General features: G+C 44.4%; 1 protein-coding gene across 8 annotated transcripts, besides 8 other annotated features; it reads right to left on the reverse strand.

The window, feature by feature from the left end:
- Positions 1-3: 3 nt before the first annotated feature.
- Positions 4-26,095, reverse strand: ZNF180 (zinc finger protein 180). Of its 8 annotated transcripts, NM_001288760.3 has the most exons (7): positions 25,848-26,095; positions 22,857-22,950; positions 22,121-22,238; positions 10,223-10,349; positions 9,934-10,008; positions 4,856-4,982; positions 16-3,719 (listed from the first exon to the last, which is right to left on the reverse strand). In NM_001288760.3, the coding sequence occupies exon 7, from the start codon at positions 3,022-3,024 to the stop codon at positions 1,975-1,977; it is 1,050 nt and encodes a 349-aa protein (NP_001275689.1). In that variant the 5' UTR covers positions 3,025-3,719; positions 4,856-4,982; positions 9,934-10,008; positions 10,223-10,349; positions 22,121-22,238; positions 22,857-22,950; positions 25,848-26,095; the 3' UTR covers positions 16-1,974. The 8 variants fall into 8 exon arrangements, with proteins under 8 accessions (NP_037388.3, NP_001275688.2, NP_001265437.2 ...); NM_013256.7 differs by lacking the exons at positions 10,223-10,349; positions 22,121-22,238 and having other exon boundaries at positions 4-3,719; positions 22,857-22,945; positions 25,771-26,095; NM_001288759.4 differs by lacking the exons at positions 10,223-10,349; positions 22,121-22,238 and having other exon boundaries at positions 4-3,719; positions 25,771-26,095.
- Positions 2,751-2,951: a silencer, noted in NCBI's record as "peak3500 fragment used in MPRA reporter construct". NCBI's record gives its function as "represses an SCP1 promoter by STARR-seq MPRAs in K562 erythroleukemia cells {active_cell/tissue: K562}" and the evidence as "EXISTENCE:reporter gene assay evidence [ECO:0000049][PMID:32103011]".
- Positions 25,365-25,863: an enhancer, noted in NCBI's record as "H3K27ac hESC enhancer chr19:45003842-45004342 (GRCh37/hg19 assembly coordinates)". NCBI's record gives its function as "activates a minimal SCP1, AML or CMV promoter by ChIP-STARR-seq in primed H9 embryonic stem cells {active_cell/tissue: H9 hESC(primed)}" and the evidence as "EXISTENCE:reporter gene assay evidence [ECO:0000049][PMID:30033119]".
- Positions 25,851-25,900: an enhancer, noted in NCBI's record as "active region_14760". NCBI's record gives its function as "activates an Ori minimal core promoter by ATAC-STARR-seq in GM12878 lymphoblastoid cells {active_cell/tissue: GM12878}" and the evidence as "EXISTENCE:reporter gene assay evidence [ECO:0000049][PMID:35858748]".
- Positions 25,851-26,364: a biological region, named in NCBI's record as "H3K27ac hESC enhancer GRCh37_chr19:45004343-45004843".
- Positions 25,864-26,364: an enhancer, noted in NCBI's record as "H3K27ac hESC enhancer chr19:45004343-45004843 (GRCh37/hg19 assembly coordinates)". NCBI's record gives its function as "activates a minimal SCP1, AML or CMV promoter by ChIP-STARR-seq in naive H9 embryonic stem cells {active_cell/tissue: H9 hESC(naive)}" and the evidence as "EXISTENCE:reporter gene assay evidence [ECO:0000049][PMID:30033119]".
- Positions 25,911-25,970: an enhancer, noted in NCBI's record as "active region_14761". NCBI's record gives its function as "activates an Ori minimal core promoter by ATAC-STARR-seq in GM12878 lymphoblastoid cells {active_cell/tissue: GM12878}" and the evidence as "EXISTENCE:reporter gene assay evidence [ECO:0000049][PMID:35858748]".
- Positions 25,981-26,190: an enhancer, noted in NCBI's record as "active region_14762". NCBI's record gives its function as "activates an Ori minimal core promoter by ATAC-STARR-seq in GM12878 lymphoblastoid cells {active_cell/tissue: GM12878}" and the evidence as "EXISTENCE:reporter gene assay evidence [ECO:0000049][PMID:35858748]".
- Positions 26,030-26,324: an enhancer, noted in NCBI's record as "tiled region #2061; HepG2 Activating DNase matched - State 1:Tss, and K562 Activating DNase unmatched - State 1:Tss". NCBI's record gives its function as "activates a minimal TATA promoter and a strong SV40 promoter by Sharpr-MPRA in HepG2 and K562 cells {active_cell/tissue: HepG2 | K562}" and the evidence as "EXISTENCE:reporter gene assay evidence [ECO:0000049][PMID:27701403]".

Raw genomic sequence — 26,493 nt, forward strand, 5'->3', positions numbered from 1 at the left:
TTCATGGCTTATATATTTTTTATTTTTACTTTATTTTCTAGGTCTCATCATAGCTCATATATAACACTCAAAACATCATTAAACCATCTAATCTAATATTCGACCATATCATTTCTTTCTTTACACGACTTGTGAGATAAGTAAGATATCAGTTAAAATTTTCATTTCAGCATCTGTTTTTCTCATATCCCCTTTGTGCTTCTTAAAGATGGTTAAAATAGGACAGACAGACTTGGAACTTTGTTCAACTGTCTTAGGAAAAGACCATTGCAGGGGCACAGTCTTTCAACCCCACTGGCCATGTAAGACTAGGCCTGGAGCCTGGAACACATCCTTCCCAAGAGATACTGAACCTCTTTCAGACTCATTGAGGGTTCTTCAAAGTGTGGGTCAGTGGTCCCCAAGGGATGCCCGCAGCTTTCAGTATTTCACACTCCATGAAAACATCAGCAACTGTTTTCCCAGACCTGACACTGCCAGGTGTGCAACAATCTCTGGATTAATCCTCATAGAGATGGCTCCACTTAGGGTCATCTCATAGGGATAGAATTTTGCTAAGGATAACCCCATCAGTTACCCTTTAAGTTTTCTTTCCTATCCCAAGGGTATTAACCTCTATTATCTGGTCTCTCAGTTCAACTTTCAGCTTATTACCTTTCTGGGATCAGAGGCTTCAATATATGGTCATCCACAGGATTCAAATTCATGATTCAAGGGAAAGGTCAGAAAGACATGTTAATCAAATCTTAAATATCAAAGAGTAACTAAAACTTTGCCTCATGAAAGCATTTTTGCAAGCATAATTTAGACGGTCAGCACTGAGCCAGGGAAGCACCCTTCTATTCAGAGGACTCTCACATCAGGGAACATATCCCAGAGGAAAGAGACAATGCTACATGAGGGGAAGAACTAAAACATGAAAATAGAGTTCCTTAATATTGCTTTGCATATATGAAAATAAGCCCACTTGCCCTCTATACTTCCCACGCATTCTCAGTTCTTCATATGAAACCATTTCTGGCCAAAATTTCTAGTTACCTATTTCCAGGAATCCATTTTATTTTCAATGAGGAATGTTCCTAGGAATCTATGTCCTAAGTAGTAATCTGCTCATGCTATTCCAAACATAAACCTCATTATCCTGAGGGATCTTTGCTATTTGGTTGCTTAGTCTTTCCTAAATAGTCAAAGAAGGAAATCTTTGTATTTCATTTTTGGCTTTGAATAATTTTTACTCATTATATCATTTATCATAGCATAACAGCGTACATTCCAAAAAGGAAGGCCCAACATAAACTGAGAAATTGAATAGATACATCCATAATCCCTTTCTATTCTAATCCATACACAAATATTTTATCATAATGGTTTTAGAAGTGAATATTATTTCTATATTCTTTTCCCACACTTTTCACTATATATCATAGACACTTTCCTAAAATTTATAAAATCTTCACATGTAACAACAGCAAGTGCTGTAAGGAACAGATTACAAGCTATCTAATTGGAAGATCATGTAGTAAAATGATGCACTAAAATATGGTTTTCCAGCCTAAGTTCTAAACACTACAGCAACCTTTAAATTTTCTCAATAAGCCCACTAGTGTTAGCATTCCATTTACTCTTTATGGAAAAAGAGGTCTAACACTGGCAGTTGGCTTTGGCATATGATTTTCTCTGATTCAGGTCTGAGTGCTTTCTGCAAGGAAAAGTGCCAGTATTTATTATTTTCATAGGAATATGTCATAAGAATCAAGTTTAACATTGTATATGGAATTGCCAGGTTGAAAAGTCGTTCATAGACTTTCCCCCTTTCTTTTCCAGAACAAATTTGAGACACACAATTAACAGAGGGCTGGAAGTTTTCCCACATATATTGTTTTTATAGTAGTTCTTCCAACTACATGTACTACCTTAAAATAAATTTTTTAAAAGAATGAAATAAAAAGGAAGAAATCCCAGCTGATTTACAAACTAGTTACATTCATAGAGTTTCTCTTCAGTATGAGTTGCCTGATGCCTAATAAGTTTATAGCTATTAATGAAAGCTTTTCCACACTGAATACATGTAAAGGGTTTCTCTCCAGTATGAGTTCTTTGATGCACAATAAGTCGAGCACTCAAGCTAAATGTTTTTCCACACTGATTACATTCAAATGGTTTCTCTCCAGTATGAGTTCTCTGATGTTGAGTAAGGCATGAACTCTGTCTGAAGGACTTCCCACATTGACTGCATTCATAGGGCTTTTCTCCAGTATGAGTTCTCTGATGTACAACAAGAACATAACTCTGGCTGAAGGATTTCCCACACTGATTACATTCATACGGTTTTTCCCCAGTGTGAATTCTCTGATGCATAACAAGGTGAGAACTGCGGTTAAAAGATTTTCCACATTCACTACATTCATACGGTTTCTCTCCAGTGTGAGTTCTTTGATGTGCAACAAGCTGAGAGCTCCAGCTGAAGGATTTCCCACACTGATTACATTCAAAGGGTTTTTCTCCTGTGTGAGTTCTCTGATGAGCAACAAGTTTATAACTTTGACTAAAGGATTTCCCACACTGATTGCATTCATAGGGTTTTTCCCCAGTATGAATTCTTTGATGTGCAATAAGTTTATAGCTCTGGATAAATGATTTCCCACATTGATTACATTCATAGGGCTTCTCTCCGGTATGTGTTCTTTGATGTGCAATAAGTTTATAGCTCTGCCTGAATGACTTTCCACACTGATTGCATTCATAAGGCTTCTCCCCAGTATGAGTTCTTTGATGCACAACAAGGACATAACTCTGGCTAAAGGATTTCCCACATTGATTACACCTGTAAGGTTTCTCTCCAGTATGAGTTCTCTGATGGGAAACAAGGTGCGAGCTCCGGCTGAAGGATTTTCCACATTCACTACATTCATAAGGTTTCTCCCCTGTGTGAGTTCTCTGATGTGCAACAAGATGCGAGCTCCAGCTGAAGGATTTCCCACACTGATTACATTCAAAAGGTTTCTCTTCAGAATTATTTCTCATGTTTTGAGTAAGGGAGGAACTATGAGAGGTTTCACTACATTTATATTGACTCTCTTCAAAAGGAATTCTCTGTTGTTCATTATGGGATATTTTGGGGTTCAAAACCTGCCCACATTCTTTAAAATCAAAGGTTTTTCCTCCTCCATGAATTTTTTCATGTATATGTAGGGGTGTACCATGGCAAAAAGATTGAATACGGTCACTAAATCCATAGGATTTATCTTTTGTTTGAGTTCTTGTAAACTGAATAAGGTGAATGCTCTGAGGGGGTTTTCCACATTCATTATTTTCATATAGTGTCTCATTCTCATTAATCTTCTGATGACTGTTTACAGCAGCATTAAGATGCCATTTTTTAGCATGTGATACATGTTTATGAAAATGGTTTCTTATGGGTATAACTGGGGATGAAAATAGACTGGAATTCAGACCACTCTTCTCCCCAGTTTCATCACTTTTGCAGACTCTCTCATGAATAACTGCTTTCCTTTGAGTGAATGCCACTTCCTGCAAAAGTATCTCTTGTTTTTCCTGTTGCTTCTCCAACTGGTCTTTACAATCATCCACTTCTTCACATGAAGATAACCAAGGATCATCCCTTGTAAACCTTTCTATCTTCACTCCATTAGCTGGTTCTTCATCAAAAATCCTCTGCTTTGAAGTTGAATCTTTTTTTCCAACTGCAGTTGCCAAGTCTGAAAGAAAGCAATATAAGACATCTTAGTCAAAAAATATTAGAGATGGAAAAATGGAATAAAGCTAACAAGAAAGTATGAAAAATATATATGAATTTGTTTTCAAATACTGACCGATAACCTAGGTTGAAAAAGCAAAAGGGTGAGATAAAGTATTAAGTACAGAACTACCACAGCCCAATATTACAACAGAGCATTAAAATGGAACTATTGTAATCTTGGTTTAATCTTAGTCTGAATAAATAAGACTCTGGATGTCAAATACCTGCATATTCCAAAATAAGATCATCTACATAGAACCTACAGAATTGCAACCCAATTTTGCAATATGTATAGAGAGTCTTTTCCACTCTTTAGTGCTACACAGATGTTCACTAAGAGATTAGTGTCTACATATCCAGGAATTTCTGAAGGCATAAAACTTGCTAAATACTCTACTCTGTGTCAGTGAGGCATGAGGAAACTATGTTTGTGAACAAAAGAAAAGGAATGGGGCATTATTATCCAGTTCCCTAACTACCTTAGGAACCAATAAAGCCCCACAAATTTCTGTGATTCCAACTGAGAGAGACTAGAAGTTTGCTCCTAGTAGCCTGGGTGGCTACTAGGTCAAGCAATAGAGAGTATATATGGAAAAAGTAGTCATGTATACAGTCCACCAGGAGGTGGGAAATGAAGAAAAAATGTGGCATCTTCTATGCGGATTTTTTCAAATGGACCTTCTACACCTGTAATGACCCCTATGTGTCTGGTTCTCACTTGAACACATGTATTGGAAAATTCTTTTTATATTCTTTCCCTTGCTCCAACTAGGAGATTGTATCTGCTTCAAAAAGCTGACAAGGAAAGATACAGGAATTTGAGTTTTCAAAGCTGGGGACAAAAGAAAATTACTGCAGAATCTGGTCCTGGCCTTTGGTCTTTAGGAACATGAAGACTGAAAATCTCAAGCCCAAGAATCTGCACTATTTCTACCCTACAAACTAAAATTAATCTTCACTGGGGAATAAAGAGCACAAACACAATCTAGATGCAGCCAAAATCATTCTGGCTGCTGAATTTCACAGTTCTTAATCGATCAGAATGTGAAATCATTTCAGTAGATGGATCTTCATTAAAGAGGAGTGTATTCTTACCCCAAGAGACTAGGTCCCTGTGGTTCTCCAGGATCACATCTCTGTCCAGGGTCCTCTGAGCAGGGTTGCAAGTACCCTGTTCCTCCCGTGTGAAGTCCACAGTCACAATTTTGAAGTTCACTCCTTCCTAAAAAAGGACACACATTCCTGCTCAGCTGGGCATCATTTCCTTCCAAAGTTCATGGAGGAGGAAAAGTCTGACAGATGGAAAAAGGAAAATTGGTGACCTGGGAGTTGTCCTTAAATTGTCAGTGCCCAAAAGATTCCAGTCAAGATGTACAGGTGCCTTCTGGGTGAGCTCTTTGGGTTTTGGATGCTGGACCTGTTTTTACAACTCCAAAGAGGAATACCAGATAAGAACTGATATAAACTATTTTATTTTGTCTGCCTTAAAAAGGATGCTTATTCTGACTTTTGCACTGGTGAATATAGAATTCCCACTTAGGAATTCCCTCTAAATTCCCAAGAAATTAATGAAACAGGGGTGGTTGATTTTTTTCTGTCAAAGGCCAGATAGTAAATATTTCACACTTTGCCAGCCATACAGTCTCTATCACACTACTCAACTCTGCTGCTATAGCAAGAAATTAGCCACAGAAAATATATAAACAAATGGGTGTGGCTACATTACAATAGATCTTTATTTACAAAAACAGCCACAGGCTGTACTTTGCTAATGCATGAGACAGAAAATGAAATGTGGACCTCGATGAAAAGCAGTATGTATAGGTGAAGAACACTGGATGTAGAAGATACAAAGACTTGGCTTTCTCACCTATAAAGGGCATATATCTGCTTAAGAAATACATCTAATCTGACAATCTGTCCTTTTTTTTTCTTTTGAGACAAGACCTCACTCTGTTGCCCAGGCTGGAGTACAGTGGCACAATCATGGCTCACTGCAGCCTCCATCTTCTGGGCTCAAGTGATCCTCCCACCTAGTCTCCCAAGTAGCTGGGACTACAGGTGTGCATCACCGTGCTTGGCTAATTTTTAAAATTTTGTAGAGACAGACCCTCAATATATTGCTTAGGCTGGTCTCAGACTCCTGTGTTCAAGGAATCTTCCCATCTCAGACTCCCACAGTGCTGGAATTACAGGGATGAGCCACCACACCTGACCCAATTGTCTTTCCCTGGCGAGTTTATTCCATTTCTATTTATTAGGCCTAATAATACCTAAATCATTGGGTTGAATGAATAATTACGATGATCTATGAAAAGCCACTAGCAGAGTTTACTGATGAAACAACGAAGGCCAGCAATTACAGGCTGAGTATCCCATAGCTAAAATACTTAGGACTGGAAGAATTTTGGATTTCAGATTTTGAAATATTTGCATTTACATGAGATGCCTTGAAGATGGGATCCAAGTCTAAACACAAATTCATTTATGTTTCATATACACCTTAAACATATAGCCTAATGGTAATTTTATGCAATTTTTAAAAAAATTTTGTGTATGAAACAGTTTTGACTGTTTTGACTATGAGTGGTCGCATGAGGTCAAGTGTAGAATTTTCCACTTGTGGCATTATGCTGGGGCTCCAAAACCTTCCAATTTTGGACAATTTCAGATTTTTGGATTAGGGGTGCTTAGCCTGTACTGTTATGATTAGTAGGTCTCAGGATCCTCAAAGATTAACTGAGAGCCAAAGTGACCTTTATTCTGAACTCTCAGTCTTCAAATAACAGTTCTGTTTCTATCCATATCCAGCTGCATGGCAGAGCCTTTTAGGAGACGTTTGCTGTTATTACTGCCATATAAATGGGGTCTCTTGGGCTGCCTCCTCTAAGCAGGAAAGGGCCTGTTCTTAAGATAACTGGGCAGGAATTTTAATCCAAAAGAGAAGTGCTAAGGGTGATCTGTCCTTACCCAGGCACAGCAAAGGCAAGGGGAAGTCGAATGCCTCTTGCCACTAAAGGCTCTTTAAATAGACCAGGCATTCTTGAGCTGCAGTTCATGAATAGGATACAGGGTCCTGAATGCCATGAAAGCACATGCAAAATACTGCTGTATATGCCTCTAAGTTTGAGCCTAAAAATTTCACTGAAACCTCAAATGTTTTCATGATTAGCCCAACGTGAAATTCAAAAAATAACTCGCCAACTGCTGCCTGTATTTAACATTAATCTTTAAGGTATTGTCTTTCAATCTGTAATGCATGCTTCTTTTTAATAAACACTCCCCCTTTCTGTGTAATATAGGTCTCTTTAGTATAAAGCTTGTTCAAATGTCAAACAGATAATACTAAACTAGATTAGCACCCCCACTCCACTCCCAACTATATATTCTCAAAGTTCCATGGACTTCTATAATCACACTTTCTTATTTGCAGAATGGTCATCTCTGTCACTAGGCCATGATCCATGAAGGCAGGGACAAGTATTTACAGTTTGCAAATGTAACTCCAATGCTTAGCATAGTGTTTATATATAGTAGATATTACATTTATATTTCACAAATTATTTCAGTAAGTGAATGAACACTATCAATAAACCTTATAAGATATCAAAATAACCCTCACCCAAATTGATTTAAGTCATCCCCCCTCACCTGAATCTCACAAGCTGTACCACATACCCATTTGAAAAGGCCCCTCAATGTGCAGATACTAGCTTTTCTGGACTTCTATCCCACTTATTCTATTCTTCTCACTTGTCCCAAATTCCTCATGCCTGAAAACTCCTTCCCAAAATCTTCAACTGCCCTTGAAACTCATCTTTTGTAACAATAAAATAGGATGGGTAGGGCGGCTCATGCCTATAATCCCAGCACTTTGGGAGACTGAGGTGGGTGGATCATTTCAGCCCAGGAATTCAAGACCAGCCTGGGCAACATGGTGAAACCCTGTCTCTACTAAAAACACAAAAAATTAGCCAGGTGTGCTGGTGCATGCCTATAGTCCCAGCTACTCAGGAGGCTGAGGTTTGGAGAATCACCTGAGCCTCGGAATTCAAGGCTGCAGTGAGCCATGATCACACCATTGCAGTCCAGCCTGGGTAACTGGAGTGAGACCCTGTCTCAAAATCATAATAACAATAAAATATTGCAGTTTCAGTATCCTTCACCAAACATTCCCTATACATCCCTGTGTTAATGGAGACTTATACTTCCTGCTGATGACTTCCCTCCTCCTCAGTCCTCAGAGGCTAAGAATGCTCATACTCTCCCATCCTAGATCTCAGCATCAAAGAAGGAGTGCATGTCCTCCCAGTTACTCTGAAACTCATGCCATTTACCTCACTTCTTGGAGCTCTGTCCTACCCACCTCCTGAACACCACCCCCACCCCATTCACTGAAGATTCATACTTGGGATTTATCCTCTAATATAAGAACTTGTAGTGTCTTATCTCATATTGTCTATAGCATCCACTTGTATAGTCAGCTGATGAGAATATAAAAATAACTGACTTTAATGAAGCACTTATGAGTTTGCATGAAGCACCACCATGGTGCCAGGCATTGTGCTAACATGTCATATGGATTATTCATTTAATTCTCAAAGGGCTCCTGTGAGAAAACACTATTAGCAGTATTATTTTTTTCTTATGAAGACCAAGGGAGTCAGAGAAATTAAGACATATGCCTAAGGTTAGTAGTAGAGGGATAAAACCTCAAGCTTGCACATTGATGACTGTGTTCTCAGTCATCAGTTCATATGGCTAACCCAAGTCTCATATTCTGAAGCTGCTCTTCATCAGCTCATTCTTCGGGGGACACCCCAGACCTTGAAATTGTCATAAAACACTCCACCTTTTGAATCACAAATACAAAACTGCCCACGTTTCACTACAATGTCAGATTGCTCCACTGTATTGGCTCAGTTTTTTCCCTTTACTCTTGTTCCTTGAAAGTTTAAGGCCATTATGCTACCGAAATGTCTACTATTACCACTACCAGCCTATATTCTTTTTCATTTCTACTTAGTGGGCTCTTTATCACTTCCATATTAATTACTCAATTTAAGGTTCATGGATCATTCTTTTTAATCTTTCTACTTGACGTATTTTTAAATTCTCTTTCAAGTATTCCCTTGACCTTTGGAGTGTCCACTCCATAGGAAGTGGACCTGGCAAATTACAAAAACTAAATGAATCTGAATGTCAATCTGCTATCTGTGGAAAGTGGGCTACAAATTGCCACTGCAGGGAAAAATCCACAAAAGCAGCAGGATAGAGTATTATAAATTAATGGCCACTATCTCTGAATGAAACTTTCAGATTGACCAGCAATCCTATTACATTTACTGGAGCAGCCTGTTTCCTCTCATAATCCAAAATTGCTATTTTAAGCCTTCTCTACCCTTGTCATACATCTCTCCATTCCAATTCCCACCATCATGCTCATCTGATTTTTCGCAGTGAAAGATCAAGCTTTCAAATAATTCCCTCAACCTCACTGTTCCTATATAAATCCTTCTCCTCATATAGAGCTAATTTATTCAAGATGTTCTGAATTAATTTCTCTGGTGCTAACCAAGGACTGTGCTTTATAGTTTCTCTCTTGTTGCCTGATGAATAACTTTTTTTCCTCTACTAACTCCTTCCTGTAATCATTTAAACTGAATTGAATATTTTCAATCCCTTTAAAAAAAACCCTCAATCTCAAAAGTCCTTGAAGTTTTCACTTTCTTCTACCTTCCACACAATAACCAAACTTCTTGAAAAAGTTGTCCACTTTTGTCTCCATTTCCTCACTTTCTTTCTTTCTTTTTTTTTTTTTTTTTGAGATGGAGTCTCACTCTGTCGCCCAGGCTGAAGTGCAGTGGCGCAATCTCGGCTCACTGCAAGCTCTGCCTCCCAGGTTCACACCATTCTCCTGCCTCAGCCTCCCGAGTAGCTGAGACTACAGGCACCCGCCACCACACCCAGCTAACTTTTTTTGTATTTTTTTAGTAGAGACGGGGTTTCACCGTGTTAGCCAGGATGGTCTCGATCTCCTGACCTCATGATCTGCCCGCCTCAGCCTCCCAAAGTGCTGGCAGCCACCGCGCCCGGCCTATTTCCTCACTTTCTACTCACTTCCCAGCCATGCACATTTCTCAGTGTAAAGACAGAGGCCTTGCCCAACCTACCTGAGATGGGATGGTCAGAGACCCAGTGTCTTCTCCCTCGACTTTGATGATAATCTCTTGAGGAAGGAAAGAATCCTGAAAAGGCAAAACAGATGAGAAAAAGGAAAATAATCAGGGAGCTAAGTGGCAGCTCAAATCTCCTCCGGTCAGTGGGCTAAGATTTGACATACCACCTATTTTAACGCATCCCTCCCACCATATTTCTCCTCCCTCCTCCTAGTGGTAAGCTCCGCTAACCATGTGGAGAGAGAGAGGAGATACATGGAGGAGCACCAAGGCCCACAGATACCTGGACATGAGGTCTTTTTGGGTCTTCTGGGCCAGCCCATTGCAGCTAAATGCAGCTGACTGAGTGATCCAAGACACTAAGGAGCACTAAGACGCTAAGAACTGTCCAGCGGGACCTGCCAAAATTCCTGGGTCACAAAATTATAAGCAAATAAAATGGAATACAGCATAACCAATGCCAGAATCATAAAGAAAAAGATCAACAAATTAATTTCATAAGATGTTTAGCAGGCCGGGTGCGGTGGCTTACACCTGTAATCCCAATACTTTGGAAGGCTGAGGCAGGCAGTTCACTTGAGGTCAGGAGTTTGAGACCAGCCTGGCCAACATGGTGAAACCCCGTCTCTACTAAATATACAAAAACTGGCCGGGCATGGTGACACGCACCTGTAGTCCCAGCTACTTGGGAGGCTGAGGCAGGAGAATCACTTGAACACAGGAGGTGGAGGTTGCAGTGATCCAAGATCATGCCACTGTACTCCAGCCTAGGCAACAGAGCAAGACTCCATCTCAAAAAAAAAAAAAAAAAAAAAAAAGTCTAGCAAAAGGTGCCACATGATCAATAAGAATCTATACTATTAAGACTTCTTCCAAATCAGTAAAAGGTAGCCTCAACTGACAAAGAAAAATGCACATGCAACTATGAAGAAACTGCTGTGAATATACAAACAGATGCTCGCCTCTTTACATCAAAATCAAACATCTGTTTCTTTATCTGTATATATTAGAGACCATAAGTTCACATGGATACCTCCAATTACAATTCAATAACACATTTTATTCTGTCTAGCTTTTCTCCTTTCTTTATGTATACTTTCTTTCTCTGGCTCCCATTTTCCTCTTTATATTTACTTATTTGCTCAAGCCCTGTACATAACCAACATCCTGACCACGTCGGGTGTTTTTGTGACAGTCACAGTCATTAGTCTGTTGCTAATGACTCCAGCTCTGGCAGCCCACTGGCCAAGAGCTTCATATATTCTTAGAAGAAGTATAAATTGATACAACCCTCCTGTATTGGCTATATATTAAATATCTGTATTTACAAATACTGCTTTATTTTGAAATCCTTAAAGATTCACAAGAAGTAGCAAAAATAGAGCCACACTCAGCTTTCCCTGGTAATATCATATATAATGACAGTACATTGTCAAAACCAGGAAATTGAAATTTTGGTACAATATTATTAATTCATGTACAGAGTTTATTCCATTTTTATGTACATTCTTTTATTTTTGTTTTTTTAAAGGCAATATTTTTAAAAGTGTAATGTAACATCCATTAAGTCTACTTGTAAGTACTTATCCTTAGGAAATAACATAAAGTACATCAGGATGCATATACAAGAAACCTCATTAGCAAGTTACATTATCATAGCAAGATGGGAAGGGAGACTAAATGTCCACTAGGAAGTGCCTGGTTAAATAAATTATGCTTTATTCAGATGACTGAATATTATTTAGCAGCCAAGAGAAGAAATAAATTTGCATGTACCGATACATATAAATAATAGAAAGATGTCTATAATATATTGCTGAGTGAAAAAATGAAGAACATTATACAGAAGATGAATAGATTTCTATAAAATATAAATATGCACGGAAAAATCTGGAAAGATGTTCTCAAAAGCATTAAAAGGAGTTATTCTTTGAAGGGGTAGAACTGAGGAGCAGGTTCACTGTCTCTCTTTTAATGCTGCATCCATGTTTTTCAAAACCACTTATTTTAATTAAATATTTGGAAACCAGGAAAGGTGCTTCCCTCTTTAAAAATCACCTTGAAACAACGCAATTCCTTTGTAGTGTCCTCAGGTTTTTTCCTACAGGATACAATAATTCAGTCTGTTAAATGATAGCCCATTCAAGGATACTTTGCTCCTCCTCAAATCAAACACTGAAAAGCAACTACTGCTAATTTTTGATAACTCATTTCTTTAGAAGCCATTGGATCAAAAACTAAAAGAAAATAAAAGTGGCCAGGTGCAGCAGTTCATACCTGTAATCACAGTGCTTTGGGAGGCTGAGGTGGAAGGATCACTTGAGCCCAGGAGTTCGAGCCCAGCCTCAGCAACACAGTGAGGCTCCCCTGTCTATACAAAATATATAAAATAGGCCGGGCATGGTGGCTCACACCTGTAATTCTAGCACTTTGGGAGGCCGAGGTGGGCAGATTGCCTGAACTCAGGAGTTCGAGACCAGCCTGGTCAACATGGCGAAACCCCATCTCTACTAAAAATACAAAAAAATACAAATTAGCTAGGTGTGGTATACCTGTAGTCCCAGCTACTTGGGAGGCTAAGGCATGAGAATCACCTGAACCGGAAGTTGGAGTTTGCAGCAAGCTGAGACCATGCCACTTCACTCCAGCCTGGGCAAGAGAGTGAGACTCCATCTCAAAAAATAATAAATAAATAAATAAATAAATAAGCCAGGCACGGTGGTATGTGCCTACAGTCCCAGCTACTTGGGAGGCAAAGATGGGAGGATCACTTGATGTGGAGAGGTCAAGGTATAAGTGTGTCAATTTTTTCTCCTTATCTATCTAGAAAATATTTTACTATTACAGTAGGAATGGTTATTAAAAATGGCTAGCATTAATGTATTTAAAGGTAGGAAAGGATTCTCCAAACCTAAAAACACCACTGTATATTTACTGGGTAGGTTGTGAGGTTCACAATAAGTATCAAAGAGCCAGAGCTGCTGCAATGTAAAGAAGGCCCAATGTGAAAGCCAAGAGGTTGTGTTGCTTGCATTACTACCACACATACTACAACAGTTAAACTGCCTTTTTATTTTTTGTAGAAGACAGGGTCTCGTCATGTTGCCCAGACTGGTCTCAAACTGCTGGTCTCAGCGCCATGACAGTTTTGTCAGGAAGTTACCCTCTATGGTCTAAAAAGGAGAGGAACCCTCAGTTCTGGGAATTGCCCACCCCAGTCCTGGAAAACTCATGAATAATCCACCCCTTGTTTAGCAGAAAATCAAGAAATAACCATAAAAATGGGCAACCAGAAGCCCCTGGGGCTGCTCTGCTTATGGAGTAGCCATTCCTTATTCTTTTACTTTTTTGTTTGTTTGTTTGTTTTGGTTTTGGTTTTGAGACAGAGTCTCGCGCTGTCCCCAGGCTGGAGTGCAGTGGCATGATCTCAACTCACTGCAACCTCCACCTCCGGGGTTCAAGTGACTCTCCTGCCTCAGCCTCCTAAGTAGCTGGGACTACAGGCGCACATCACCACGCCCAGCTAATTTTTGTATTTTTTGTAGAGATGGGGTTTCACCATGTTGGCCAGGATGGTCTTGACCTCTTGACCTTGTGATCTGCCCACACTGGCCTCCCAAAGTGCTGGGATTACAGGCGTGAGCCACCGTGCCCAGACTACTTTTAAAAATAAACTTGACGCCCTCGCCCTCGCCCTTGCCCTCTCCCTCTCCCTCTCCCCACGGTCTCCCTCTCCCTCTCTTTCCACGGTCTCCCTCTCCTTCTCTTTCCACGGTCTCCCTCTCCCTCTCTTTCCACGGTCTCCCTCTCCTTCTCTTTCCACGGTCTCCCTCTCCCTCTCTTTCCACGGTCTCCCTCTCCCTCTCCCTCTCTTTCCACGGTCTCCCTCTCCCTCTCTTTCCACGGTCTCCCTCTCCCTCTCTTTCCACGGTCTCCCTCTGATGCCGAGCCGAAGCTGGACTGTACTGCTGCCATCTCGGCTCACTGCAACCTCCCTGCCTGATTCTCCTGCCTCAGCCTGCCGAGTGCCCGCGATTGCAGGCGTGCGCCGCCACGCCTGACTGGTTTTCGTATTTTTTTGGTGGAGACGGGGTTTCGCTGTGTTGGCCGGGCTGGTCTCCAGCTCCTAACCTGAGTGATCCGCCAGCCTCGGCCTCCCAAGGTGCTGGGATTGCAGACGGAGTCTCGTTCACTCAGTGCTCAATGGTGCCCAGGCTGGAGTGCAGTGGCGTGATCTCGGCTCGCTACAACCTCCACCTCCCAGCTGCCTGCCTTGGCCTCCCAAAGTGCCAAGATTGCAGCCTCTGCCCAGCTGCCACCCCGTCTGGGAAGTGAGGAGCGTCTCTGCCTGGCTGCCCATTGTCTGGGATGTGAGGAGCCCCTCTGCCTGGCTGCCCAGTCTGGAAAGTGAGGAGCGTCTCTGCCCGGCGGCCATCCCATCTAGGAAGTGAGGAGCACCTCTGCCCGGCCGCAACCCCGTCTGGGAGGTGAGGAGCATCTCTGCCCGGTCGCCCCATCTGAGAAGTGAGGAGACCCTCTGCCTGGCAACCGCCCCGTCTGAGAAGTGAGGAGCCCCTCCGCCCGGCAGCCGCCCCGTCTGAGAAGTGAGGAGCCCCTCCGCCCGGCAGCCACCCTGTCTGGGAAGTGAGTAGCGTCTCCGCCCGGCAGCCACCCCGTCCGGGAGGGAGGTGGGGGTCAGCCCCCGCCCGGCCAGCCGCCCCGTCCGGGAGGGAGGTGGGGGGGCCAGCCTCCCGCCCGGCCAGCCGCCCCGTCCGGGAGGGAGGTGGGGGGGCCAGCCCCCCGCCGGGCCAGCCGCCCCGTCTGGGAGGTGAGGGGCGCCTCTGCCCGGCCACCACCCCGTCTGGGAGGTGTACCCAACAGCTCATTGAGAACGGGCCATGATGACAATGGCGGTTTTGTGGAATAGAAAAGGGGGAAAGGTGGGGAAAAGATTGAGAAATCGGATGGTTGCTGTGTCTGTGTAGAAAGAAGTAGACATGGGAGACTTTTCATTTTGTTCTGTACTAAGAAAAATTCTTCTGCCTTGGGATCCTGTTGATCTATGATCTTACCCCCAACCCTGTGCTCTCTGAAACATGTGCTGTGTCCACTCAGGGTTAAATGGATTAAGGGCGGTGCAAGATGTGCTTTGTTAAACAGATGCTTGAAGGCAGCATGCTCGTTAAGAGTCGTCACCACTCCCTAATCTCAAGTACCCAGGGACACAAACGCTGTGGAAGGCCGCAGGGTCCTCTGCCTAGGAAAACCAGAGACCTTTGTTCACTTGTTTATCTGCTGACCTTCCCTCCACTATTGTCCTATGACCCTGCCAAATCCCCCTCTGCGAGAAACACCCAAGAATGATCAATAAAAAAAAAAGAAAAAAAGAAAAAAAAAAGAAAAATTTAGAAATGGGAAAAAATAAATAAATAAATAAATAAACTTGACCGAAAGAAAAGAAAGAAAAGAAGAGAAGAGATGAGAAGAGAAGAACAAGAAAGAAAGAGAGAGAAAGAGAGAGAGAGAGAAAGAAAGAGAGAAAAGAAAAAGAAAGAAAGAGAGAGAGAAAGACAGGAAAGAAAGAGGGAAAAGAAAGAAAGAAAAGAAAGAAAGAAAGAAAGAAAAAGCAAGAAAGAAAGAAAAGAAAAGAAAGAAAAAGACAGGAAAGAAAGAGGGAAGGGAAGGGAAAGAGGGAAAGGAAGGGAAAGAAAGAGGGAAGGGAAGGGAAAGAGCGAAAGGAAGGGAAAGAAAGAGGGAAGGGAAGGGAAGGGAAAGAAAGGGAAAAAGGAAATAGGAGAAGGGAGGGAGGGAGGGAGGGAGGGAGGGAGGATGGAAGGAAAAAGAGAAAACAAAGAGAAAAGACAATACAAAAAAAACTACTGTTCTTAAGCAGTCCTCTTGCCTCAGCCTCCCAAAGTGGGATTACAGGCGTGAGTCACCACAACTGGCCTAAACTGCCTTGAAATTGCTGCATGAACATTACAAAATAGCCCAAAATGCCAGAAAACAAAAATAAAACTCACAATGCCAAAAAATAGCCACAACCAAACTACAGATGGTACAAGGGAGCCACAAGTTTTGACCCCAAACTGTTAATGGATTCAATCTTATCTGGCCTGAAAGAAAAATTACATTCCTGATATACACCCGTGACAAATACATCTTTTCTTAAAAAAATGCCTGGGAAATGAGAAAAGTTACTCAAGAAAGGAAAATTTGTAAATGCTAACCTGTATTTTAAGTTATTACAAACTCCTTCAGATAATATCACACTCTGTTAATTAAAAAAAAAAAGCTAATATCAGTTAAGAAATAATACCAAGAATTGGACAACTTAATGTTTTTCTCAGCAGGTACTTGGCAGAAACAAAATTCCAAAATGTCACTATCTGCCATAACTGCTAAAACTATTATACTTGCAGAATATGGTTGCACCTCCTCTTGAATGCAAACTGTTTTTAGCACCTTTTTGTTTAAAAGTTTTCACAAGAAAACAAAAGAAAGCTCATCTTTCCTCAAGGTAGACTCTGGATGAAATGTCCTTCCTTGCCCTGACCCCAGCAGTCAACTCTATCACTTTACCCTGCTTTCATATCTTCACATCACATATATTCTTCTACCTTTGGCTTTTTATTTAACTCTTCCACTAGAGTGAGTTTCATAAGAGCTGAGATCTTGTCTGTCCTGTTTACCGTGACTCCACCATGCTTAGATCACTACTGACACATAGCAGGCTCTTCATAAATGTATGCTGACTATAAACAGCCACTAGGAGAAGGGACATGGAATGTGCTACCTGTAACTTTGCATTTGTCCCTGGGGTCCCTGGAGGCACTAAAGCAAAGCTGAGCTCAAGCCCCTCCCTTGGTTAGAGGAAACCTTTGTTGGGTGCCTTTTCTTTGCAGAAAATTCAAAGTGTCAGTATCCAGAACCTGCTCCCAACTTACTCTTACAAACTAAATGCTCAGAAACAAGCTTGCAACAAATGCATGTGAGCCCGTGCATGCATGCACACCCACACACCCTGAATTTTTCCCCAGGTTCTACTCACTTTGGATTACTGACCATTTTAGGAATATCTCCTGAATTTACATCTTAGCTCCCTCAGTTTCCTTCAGATAATGTCAATGTAATCTATCATTTGCCTAGTATTTTTAGTAATACATAGAGTACTTCAACACAGAATTTCCATCTCACAAAATCATCTAAACTTTTTTTTTAAGAGCTAGGGTCTCATTTTGTTGCCTAAGCTGGAGTGCAGTGGCACCATCATAGCCTACTATAGTCTTGAACTCCTGGGCTCAAGCTATCCTACTGTCTCAGCCTCCCAAGAAGCTGGGACTACAGAGGCACGCCACCACAGCTGGCTAATTTTTTTGTTTTTATTTTTTGTAGAGGTGGGAGTTTCACTATGTTGCTCAGGCTGGTCTTGAACTCCTGGCCTCAAGTGATCCTCCCATGCTGGTCCCCCAAAGTGCTGGGATTACAGGTGTGAGCCACTTTACCTGGCCTAAACTTTTTTTTGAAGAAAAGAGTAATATGTCTATTCTATTTCACCAATGCAGAAATTAATGGTAATAAGGTTTAGTAAGCTCATTTAAGTCCACTGATTGCCTGACACAAACTCTTCTGCTTCCCACTGTCTTACCAAAGTCTGTCTAATCACCCAAGGCCCAGATCAAATGCCACCTCCTCCATGAAGCGTTCCCAGATAGCAGAAAGCTTCATCTCTTCTTCTCTCAGGACTTCTTAGCTTTGGTGGCCCTTTACTATACCAGTAAAATTATTCTCTTCATATTACTACCATTTCTATATACCTCTCCCCTGGGTCCTGGGTTCTATATTAGAAAGCACTGTGTATTTTTTATCTTTGTATTCTCCTCAGTATTGAGTAGGAGCACAATAAAAGTTCTCTGCATTTGACAAGACTAGAGACACGTGCAGAGTTTGGGACATAGGAATAGAATTAAAAACTTTTACTCTACTTTCTGTATGCTCTGGAGCATCTTTAAATTACCCTCTTGTTCAACAGTCACCTCTCTAGGTCATAAAGGAGCATTTCCCTTTTTCTTTGCAGACTTTACGAAATGGGAACAGGAATTAGACTGTTGACTTGCACAGAGAAAAGGGTTGTGGGCAGGAGATAATAATTGTTCCTTCTGTAATGTATGTGGGACCCCATGGGAACCAAAGCAGGGGGAAAGAGACAAGCAGAGCTATCATGGAGTGACCTGTCCGCTTCATAGTAAGACAGTGGTCAAATCAGACCTAGGGCTAGGGCTATTTGCTCACCTATAAATAGAGATGACCAAATATTCCTTTCCCAATCTGAGGTATTCTTGGGGCAATAAAATGAAGTTTCTAATCAAATCACAGAAATATTACTGGACTCAATTCTCAGAGCTTTGCTTTGGGGGTCTACTGGCAGGAAACCCTCTATATCTGTGAGAACATTTAGAAAACACAGGCGTCACACAGGCAGACTTCTTGGTGTGTTTCCATCTCTTCCTGCCCTGGGAGCTGGAAGGTGGAGCTCACATTTCAGCTCAAGGGATATGGCGTCCACAGGGCCCATGTGGGAGGCCCTGAGGTTTCTTAATCACCAAATCTAGAAGGCGTAAAACCAATATTCACAAACTACAGCACTGGAAAGAAGGTTCCCTTCCCTGATTTTCTCAGAAATCATCCTGACAAGAGGATCCCTTTAGTCCTCACGCACAAGAAAATTCCCTCTCCTGCCCCACCTTATCATCCATGAATAATTCTCACTGTCCTGAAATACACAGAATAGACCATCCACATAGGGCCACCAACAACCTGCACAACTTCGAATGTTGAGAATGACAGTGGATGGGTGAGATTCTACCACCTACTTGGCAGCAGTTTTGGTCTCAGTCCCTGAAGGCAGGTAGGGCTCAGAGTTGGCTCAAGGCCTTCGCTGGACCAGCTGCTACTTCCTGTGTATGAGCCACTAAAATCTCTAAGGTGATGCCCCAATACCCAGATGGTTTCTTCCTAGATCAGCTCACTGGACTCGTGGCCTTCGTTCAAAGCAAAGACTTTGGCTCCCTTGATTTTTCTCTCCCTTCCAGGGTTCTAATATCCTTCAGGTCCAAATCAAGTACTTGTTCATCTTCTGATAATAATTAAAATTAACTAGAGGACATTCAGAGTTGAGAAGTGTGGTAGCCAGACTCTGAGATGGCTCCCAAAGACCCTTACTACCTAGTATTCATGCCTTTGTGTAGTCCTTGACCAATGGTACCAAGGTGGGTCTGTGTGACCAACAGAATATGGAAGAAGTGATGGTGTGTCACTTCTGAAATCAGATGATAAAAGACATTGTGGCTTCATCTTGATTGTGTGCAACTAAGTGCTCTTGCTCTCTCTCTCTCTCTCACTGGGATCACCTGCTCTGGCAGAAATCCACTGCTATGCTGTGAACGCCCTGGAAAGAGGCCTCTCTGGTGTACAGCACCTCTTGCCAACAGCCATCTGAGTGAGTTTGCAACAATATCCTCCCACCTAGTCAAGCCTTCAGAAGTCAGCAGCCCAGACAACAACTTGCCTGCAACCTCATCAGGGACCCTGAGCACCAGAAACAACCAGTTAAGCTGACCTGGATTCCTGACCCTCAGAAATTGTGTGACGAAATAAACATTGGCTATTTTAAGCTGCAAAATTTTGGGGTATGTAATAACAGATAACTAATACAACAAACAGGATGTTTTTGCTTTCCCTATGTAGCCTTGGAAAGTATAAGAAGCGCGTTTCTGGTTGTGAGAACTAAGTCGTGCAGGGCAGTGCTGTCTGTCTCATCTTTCCCCACAGTGCTTTGCACAGGGCCTTACACTGGTTAGGCAGTCAATAAATATGTGACAAAAGTCATATAATGAACAGACTTCTAATTCAGCTCACAAAAAAGAAAATGGTAAAAGGACCATTAAGAGTCCCAGAAAACACCTAGTGCCTCGCTTAAATTAGAACACCAATGACCACATCAAAACACATTCTACCAGCCAGGCACTGCGGCTCACCCCGTAATCCCGGCACTTTGGGAGGCCAAGGTGGGAGGATGGCATGATCCCAGGAGTTCGAGACCAGCCTGAGCAACACAGCGAGACCCTGTCTCTACAAAAAGTAAAAAATAAAAAAATTAGCTGGGCGTGGTGGTGTGCACCTGTAGTCCCAAATACTCAGGAGGTTGAGGTGGGAGGATCACTTGAGCGCAGAAATTCCAGGCTGCAGTGATCTATGCTGGTGTGCCATGTACTCCAGACTGGGTGACAGAGTGAGACCCTGTCTCTTAAAAAACAACAAAATAACAAAACCCCACACATTTTACCTGTAGTTTTGATAAAGATATAAATGTAAACTTATATTTGCTTAACTCTTTCTAAAACAATTGCACATGTATACATGGAATCCCATACAAAACATTTATATCAATGCTATTTGTAACAGCAAAAAAATGTAACACTAAAGAGCCATTAACAATAAACCCATAAAACCTGTAACATATTTAGAAGGTGAAATGTGGGCACTAGGTATGCGTAGTGGTATTAGGATGTCACTGCTCCCAGCCCTCCGCGGACAGACAGGGAATCTGTGTGCACACATACGCACACCGATACAAGCACACATCTCTATATATTTCTAGATTAATGTGTACTGAAAACCATGAGCCCACAATAAAACCTCCAATTCCCACTGCACACCAGAGTCCACTCAAATGTTCTTTCTTGCCGTATCTGTACCTCCCTGATTTGATGGCAAGGCGCCTGGCTCCAGTCCCTTATATATACACTTACTTATCTGATCTAGCCCCCTGTAGGTAGTTCCTCTCCCATTTCCACAATGACGCCCTCTCCCTATGGATGCTTTCCCAGACTCCCTGGGCTCTGCCACCCCACACTCGGCCACCCTCTGCCCAGGGGAGCTCCTCACCCTGCTTAGGCTTTGACTCCCCGGGCTAGGCTGCCCCATCTCTCAGACTCACTCCTCTGCCACTTGGACTTGGACAGCCCACGTCAGGCCACCCCACTGTGTCAGTACCCTCCACATGCCGCTGGGCTCTGACACCCCTGCAGGCCACCCTCACGCATGATGCCCTCAACATGCTCATGCTCTGACATGCCACACCAGGCTGCACCTGACCCCCAACACAGGTGCACATCTCACCCCACTCTGGCTCCAACACCCCATCTACCATGGACACCTGCTCACTGCACTTGGGCTCCAACTACCCACAATGAAGCACCCCCTCTCTGGATGCCTTGCTCACCTGCTCTGACCCCATCACCCCACACCAGATCTCCATATATGGACACTGGCCTCAGCCACTTGGGCTCTGACACCCACATTGGGCTGCACCACGTGCACAAGCGACTTCTTCATTCCACTTGGGCTCTGACTATGCTGGGATGTCATCCTGTGCAGATGCACTCCTCACCCTGCTTGGTCACTGACACCCTGCACATGGACACTCTCTTCACAGCAGGCAGTCCTGACAACTGTAGGTGCCCCCTAACACTGCCCCACCTCACGGCTTCAAGGCTGACTTGTTCAGGAAGAGAAAGGAGAAGCTCTAATTTAACAGTTTTAAGAAATTAAGAGTTTTCAAAGAATATTTGCGGTGGGAAATGTTCTAAATTGTTAACTTGTTTTTTAGAGACAGAGTCTCACTCTGTTGTCCAGGCTGCAGTGCAGTGACACAATCATAGCTTACTACATCCTAGACCTCCTGGGCTCAGGCGATCCTCCCACCTCACCCACTCAAGTATCTGGGACTATAGGTGGACACCACTATCCTGGCTAATTTTTAAAATTTTTTATAGAGACAGGGTCTCACTATGTTGCCCAGGCTGGTCCTGTACTCCTGGCCTCAAGCAATCCTCCCACCTCGGCCTCCCAAAGTACTGGGATTATAGGTGTGAACCACTGTGCTTGGCCAATTGTCAATATTTTTACCTTAAAGTGTACTGTACAAAAATATGAAAATACAAGCCAGGTGTGGTAGCTTATATCTGTAATCCTAGCACTTTGGGAAGTTGAGGTGGGAGGATGGCTTGAAGCCAGGAGTTCGAGACCAGCCTGGAAAACATAGTGAGATATCGTTTCTACAAAAAATTTTTAAAATACACACACACAAAAAATATAAGCCAGGCTTGGTGGTGCCCACCTGTAGTCCCACCTATTCAGGCGGCTGAGGCAGGAGGATGGCTTGAGCCCAGAAGTTTGAGGCGGCAGTGAGCTAGGATTGTGTCACTGCACTCCAACCTGGACGACAGAGCAAGACTCTGTCTCAAAAAAAAAAAAAAAAAAAAAAAAAGAAGAAAGAAAAGAAAAAGAAAATACAGATAAATAAATGATAAAACAACTACAGATAATGTTTGTTAACTGATTGCTATATTTATAGTCTTCTAACATATTTTCTATATACCCAAAAACTATATCTCTTTTTAAAAAGTGATGATTTCTAAGTGCAATTTACTTAACATAGGTAATAAATAACTTTTTCTGTCATTAAATTTGCATTATCATCAGTTTCAATGGCTACAGTGTATTCTATTTCATGGTCTTATCGTAATTCATTCAGCTATCCTCTTACATTGCACATTTAGTATATTTCCAATTGTTCATTCTCAAAGCTGTGAATTGCTGGCCAAAAGGGAATCAGCATTTTAAGGGCTTTTGATTCAGGATGCCAAATTCCTTCCAGAAAGAGTTATCTGGGCTAAAAAGGTGAGGCAACTAGCAGGGAGATTCATAAAATATATAGTAAGTGTTAGAAGCCTGATGGCCATGAGGGCCTCAAACCCCCTAAAAGGCTGCAAAGAGAGTCAGGGAGGAGCCACAGCCTCCCAAGCTGAGAGGGTCAGGCTGCAGACAGACCCAAGCTCTGGGTCTCCACTCACCTGTGCACAGACCTTCGGGGGCTCTGGGGGCTTCTCATCCTGCTCTTCCATGCTCTCCTCCAGGCACAGCAGGGTGCTGAGGTCCTGAGCTGCACTGAGAGAAGCCCCAAGTACAGCATGAAGATGTAGGTCTGCCGGAACCGCTGGGCCCCCCACCCCCATTAGCCCCTGCTCCCAGGATGCAGGATGCATTCCCATAGCAAATGCACTTCTGGAGGTTCCTGCCAGCTTCCTGCCCAAATACCTGTGTATGTACTGAGAGTCCCTCAGTCCCTCTCCCAGGTCAAGTTTCTGCAGCTCCAACCTGGTTCCTCCACCATCTTGGGCCCCTGGACCATCTACCTGTAAGCCCAGCTTGTGCCCAACATGGCCTTCTGCCCACCACCAAAGTCTGCAGCACCAGTCCATCCCTCTCCTATTCACTGGGCCCTGGGATCCCCACAAATATCAGGCATATTGAGGACCCCCTGGTGTTCACCCCATCCTACCCCTACCAACCTCAATCTACAGCCCCAAACCAGCACTTCTTCCTAGGGCCAGAATCACACTCACTGCCTAACTGCATGAAGCTGGTGACACAGCTCCACTGCTCCCAGGAACTGATTCAACAACTAAGACTGATCCTACCGTTCCATCAGCCAGACCTGTCCCTCCAGCAACTCAGCACAGAGGGCCACCCACATCCTGCTCAAATAGCCAAGCATTTATGCACAGAGCTCAGCTATACCCACATCCTGTTCCCTCCACACTTCTGGGGTCCACTGGCTCCTACTCGAACAGCACCAGCCAGATTCCCACCCTAACACCCTCCCAGGCCCTGAATTTGTAGCTCTAAACCAGTCCCTCCACCAACTTGGGTATACTCAGGCCTGAAACTACAACAAGGCCTGCATAGGGCTGGGGGCCTCCAACAGACACCAGCACAAGCCAGACAAAAGCAGCCCTACCCAGGCTCTAAATACATGTCTCAGAAGCTCAGGTGCCTCTGTACCAACTAGGTGTTTTGGGATCCAAGACTAGAGGGCAAATCCTACCCTAGGCACCCCACCCTCTGCACTCCATCTCTCCCACTTACTCTCTCCCCTGCTCCCACCATATTCTCACGCAGCATAGCGTAGGTTCACAATGCAGCTGTTTCCTGAAATTGCACCCAAACTGTTTCCTCCACCTTACTCCACAGCCCCCTGCTTGAGCCACACCTGCCCAGATTCTGACCAAACATCTTTCGGGGGCACCTGTGGCTCAGGAAGATCCTGTCTTTCCACCAAACTGGGCACCATCAGGCTGTGATCAGGGTTCCAATCACACAAAGACCCCAGCACCCTCTGTCTAAAACTCATCTCCGGCCTCCTGTTTCCCAACCAAACACCGGTGTGTGTGCACAAGGGGTGCCTGACACAGTCCCGCCCCTCTGCAGCTGCTCCCCCCCACACACCTGGGCATCCTCAGGCAGAATCAGGGTCCTAGGACTGCCCATGCCTCCCCAATCTGCCCAAATGCCAGCACACGTGCAGAGTGTTGCTGGAGCAGCCCCGTGCCTCCTAAGACCAGATCCAAACTGGAGCCCCCAGGCCTCTATTCCACAGCCACTGCACACGGGCCACCCACCTAGACTCCCTCCTACTGATACAGCCACAGAGCAGGTTCGTGCTCACAATCTGCATCCAGGACCTGGCTCCTCTGCCCGTCTGGGGGCACACCATGCTCCTGAGTCAACAATCTACATCCCTCACCCTGTGTCTCAACCTGCCTGGGACATCTCAGGTACCCACAGCCTCTGTGTAGGTTCTGGGGTCAACTGCCCCACTATTTGCCCGCAGCCAGGACACTACAACAACTAAACAGTAGCTTGAGCATACAGCTCCATAATCAGCCCCAGGACTTGGGCACTCGCCAGCGTGGGGGTTCTCGAGCCTACGATACAGCAGCTCAATGGGAACTGGGCCCTTTGTCCTTCTCTTGCCCAATCATGACGGCCTGGGTGTTGTGCAGTCAGCTCTTCCCGGGACCAAATCTGCAGCACAGGCTCTGTCCCTCTACTAACCTGCACATTCTCACGCCTGCAAATAGCGTACCCAAGTAAAGGTCTCAGCAACACCTGCTTCATAACGATGCTGGCAACATACTGCTTCCTCCCCAGCTACCAATTTGATGGCAGCTGTTGCAGCTCTGTCCTTCCTGGACTTAAATTCTGTATCTCCAACCCGGAGTCTCTGCCCATCTTGAATGCTCTAGAGCTCTGCACTATCCTACATAGGTCCCTACTATCAGTTCAAGTTTCTGTTTTCCATTCAGACACCCCCAGGACGTGCAGGGGGCCCTCTGCCCAGAACCTGTTTCTAGGCCCTGATACCCTCCTTCAGCCTGGGAGTTTGCTGCCCATGGGTAATTCCCACCAAGGGTTCACTAGCAACACTGCCTCTTCTGGCACAAGAATCTGCAACTCCAATCTGGTCTCTCCACCAACCACAGCGCCCCCAGACCTTGGAGAAGCGCGTTGTCTGCTCTAGGGGCCCAGAGCCACCTGCTCGGAATCTTACCTACAACCTTTTGCTTCCTACCCAAATACCTGATCAAGAGTAAAGGGACAGTGGCACAGCCCCTCCTCTCCAGAAACCACAATCTGCAATGGAGCACTCCATCAACCCGGACATCCTCAGGCCTCCACTAAATAAGCCCGGCATTGGAGGAGGGGAGTTCTCAAGATGTCCCCTTACATCAATGCATGTGCCCTGTGTTCCAGCAACCTGGGCATCCTCAGGCCCCAGACAAGAGCACCACCTGACCAAGCACCCGCGCATGCACGCAGAGGACAGTCGCGGAATATACAGCTGTATCAGTAACTCCATCAACCCCGGTGACCCGAGGCTAAAGCGCCACCCGCACAGATACCAGGTCTCCCCGCTACACTCACCACCGCTTCCAGCTTCCCGCGTAGACCCTGCGCATGCGCGCATCGGACACCAAGCGCTGCCCCACGCCCCTACCAACCTGGGCGTCCGCTGGCCCGCAGCCCAGGCTGGGCCTGTCACCGCCTCAGTGCCTAGCACGGCTCTGCGGCAGGACGAACTCGGGTTAGGCAACCCCCTGCCCCGATTCTGCAACACGGCCGACTCGGGTTAAGCTAGTTCGGTCCCCTCTCCTAGTCAGCATCCGCAAGGCCGCTGGGGGTTAAGTCTGAAGGGCCGAGCTGCTCGGCGACAGCAAGCGTCCGCGCGCGGGACAATGGCTGCTCTTGTGGCCGAACCCGGAAGTGCACTTGGGCTCGGAGAGCCAGAACTACAATTCCCAGAAGCCTCCGCGGCGCGGACGGTCAGTAGGCGGGGTTCCGGCTTCTCCAAGGAAGTGGGGCGGGGGACCGGGCCAGAAGCTAAGAGGGCGTCCTCGTCCGGGGCCCGGGGGGGCGCCACACCTGTGCATGTGCAGGTCTAGGGGGAGCACTAAGACCAGCCGCGGCGCCGGGAGGCCGAGGCCAGTGCAGCGACGCATGGGGAGTCGCTCTGGCGTGACGTCAGAATCCAATAGAAATGGCGGGGACCCTTTCTGGGTGCCCCCTGCCTGTCAGACGCTGCGCGCGACCCCTTGTCTCCTCTAGTCCTAGGGGAAACCTGTGAGACAGTTGCGACATCCCCATTTT

The sequence above is a fragment of the Homo sapiens genome, chromosome 19 (assembly GCF_000001405.40).
Source record: "Homo sapiens chromosome 19, GRCh38.p14 Primary Assembly".
Classification (NCBI taxonomy): Eukaryota; Metazoa; Chordata; class Mammalia; order Primates; family Hominidae; genus Homo; species Homo sapiens.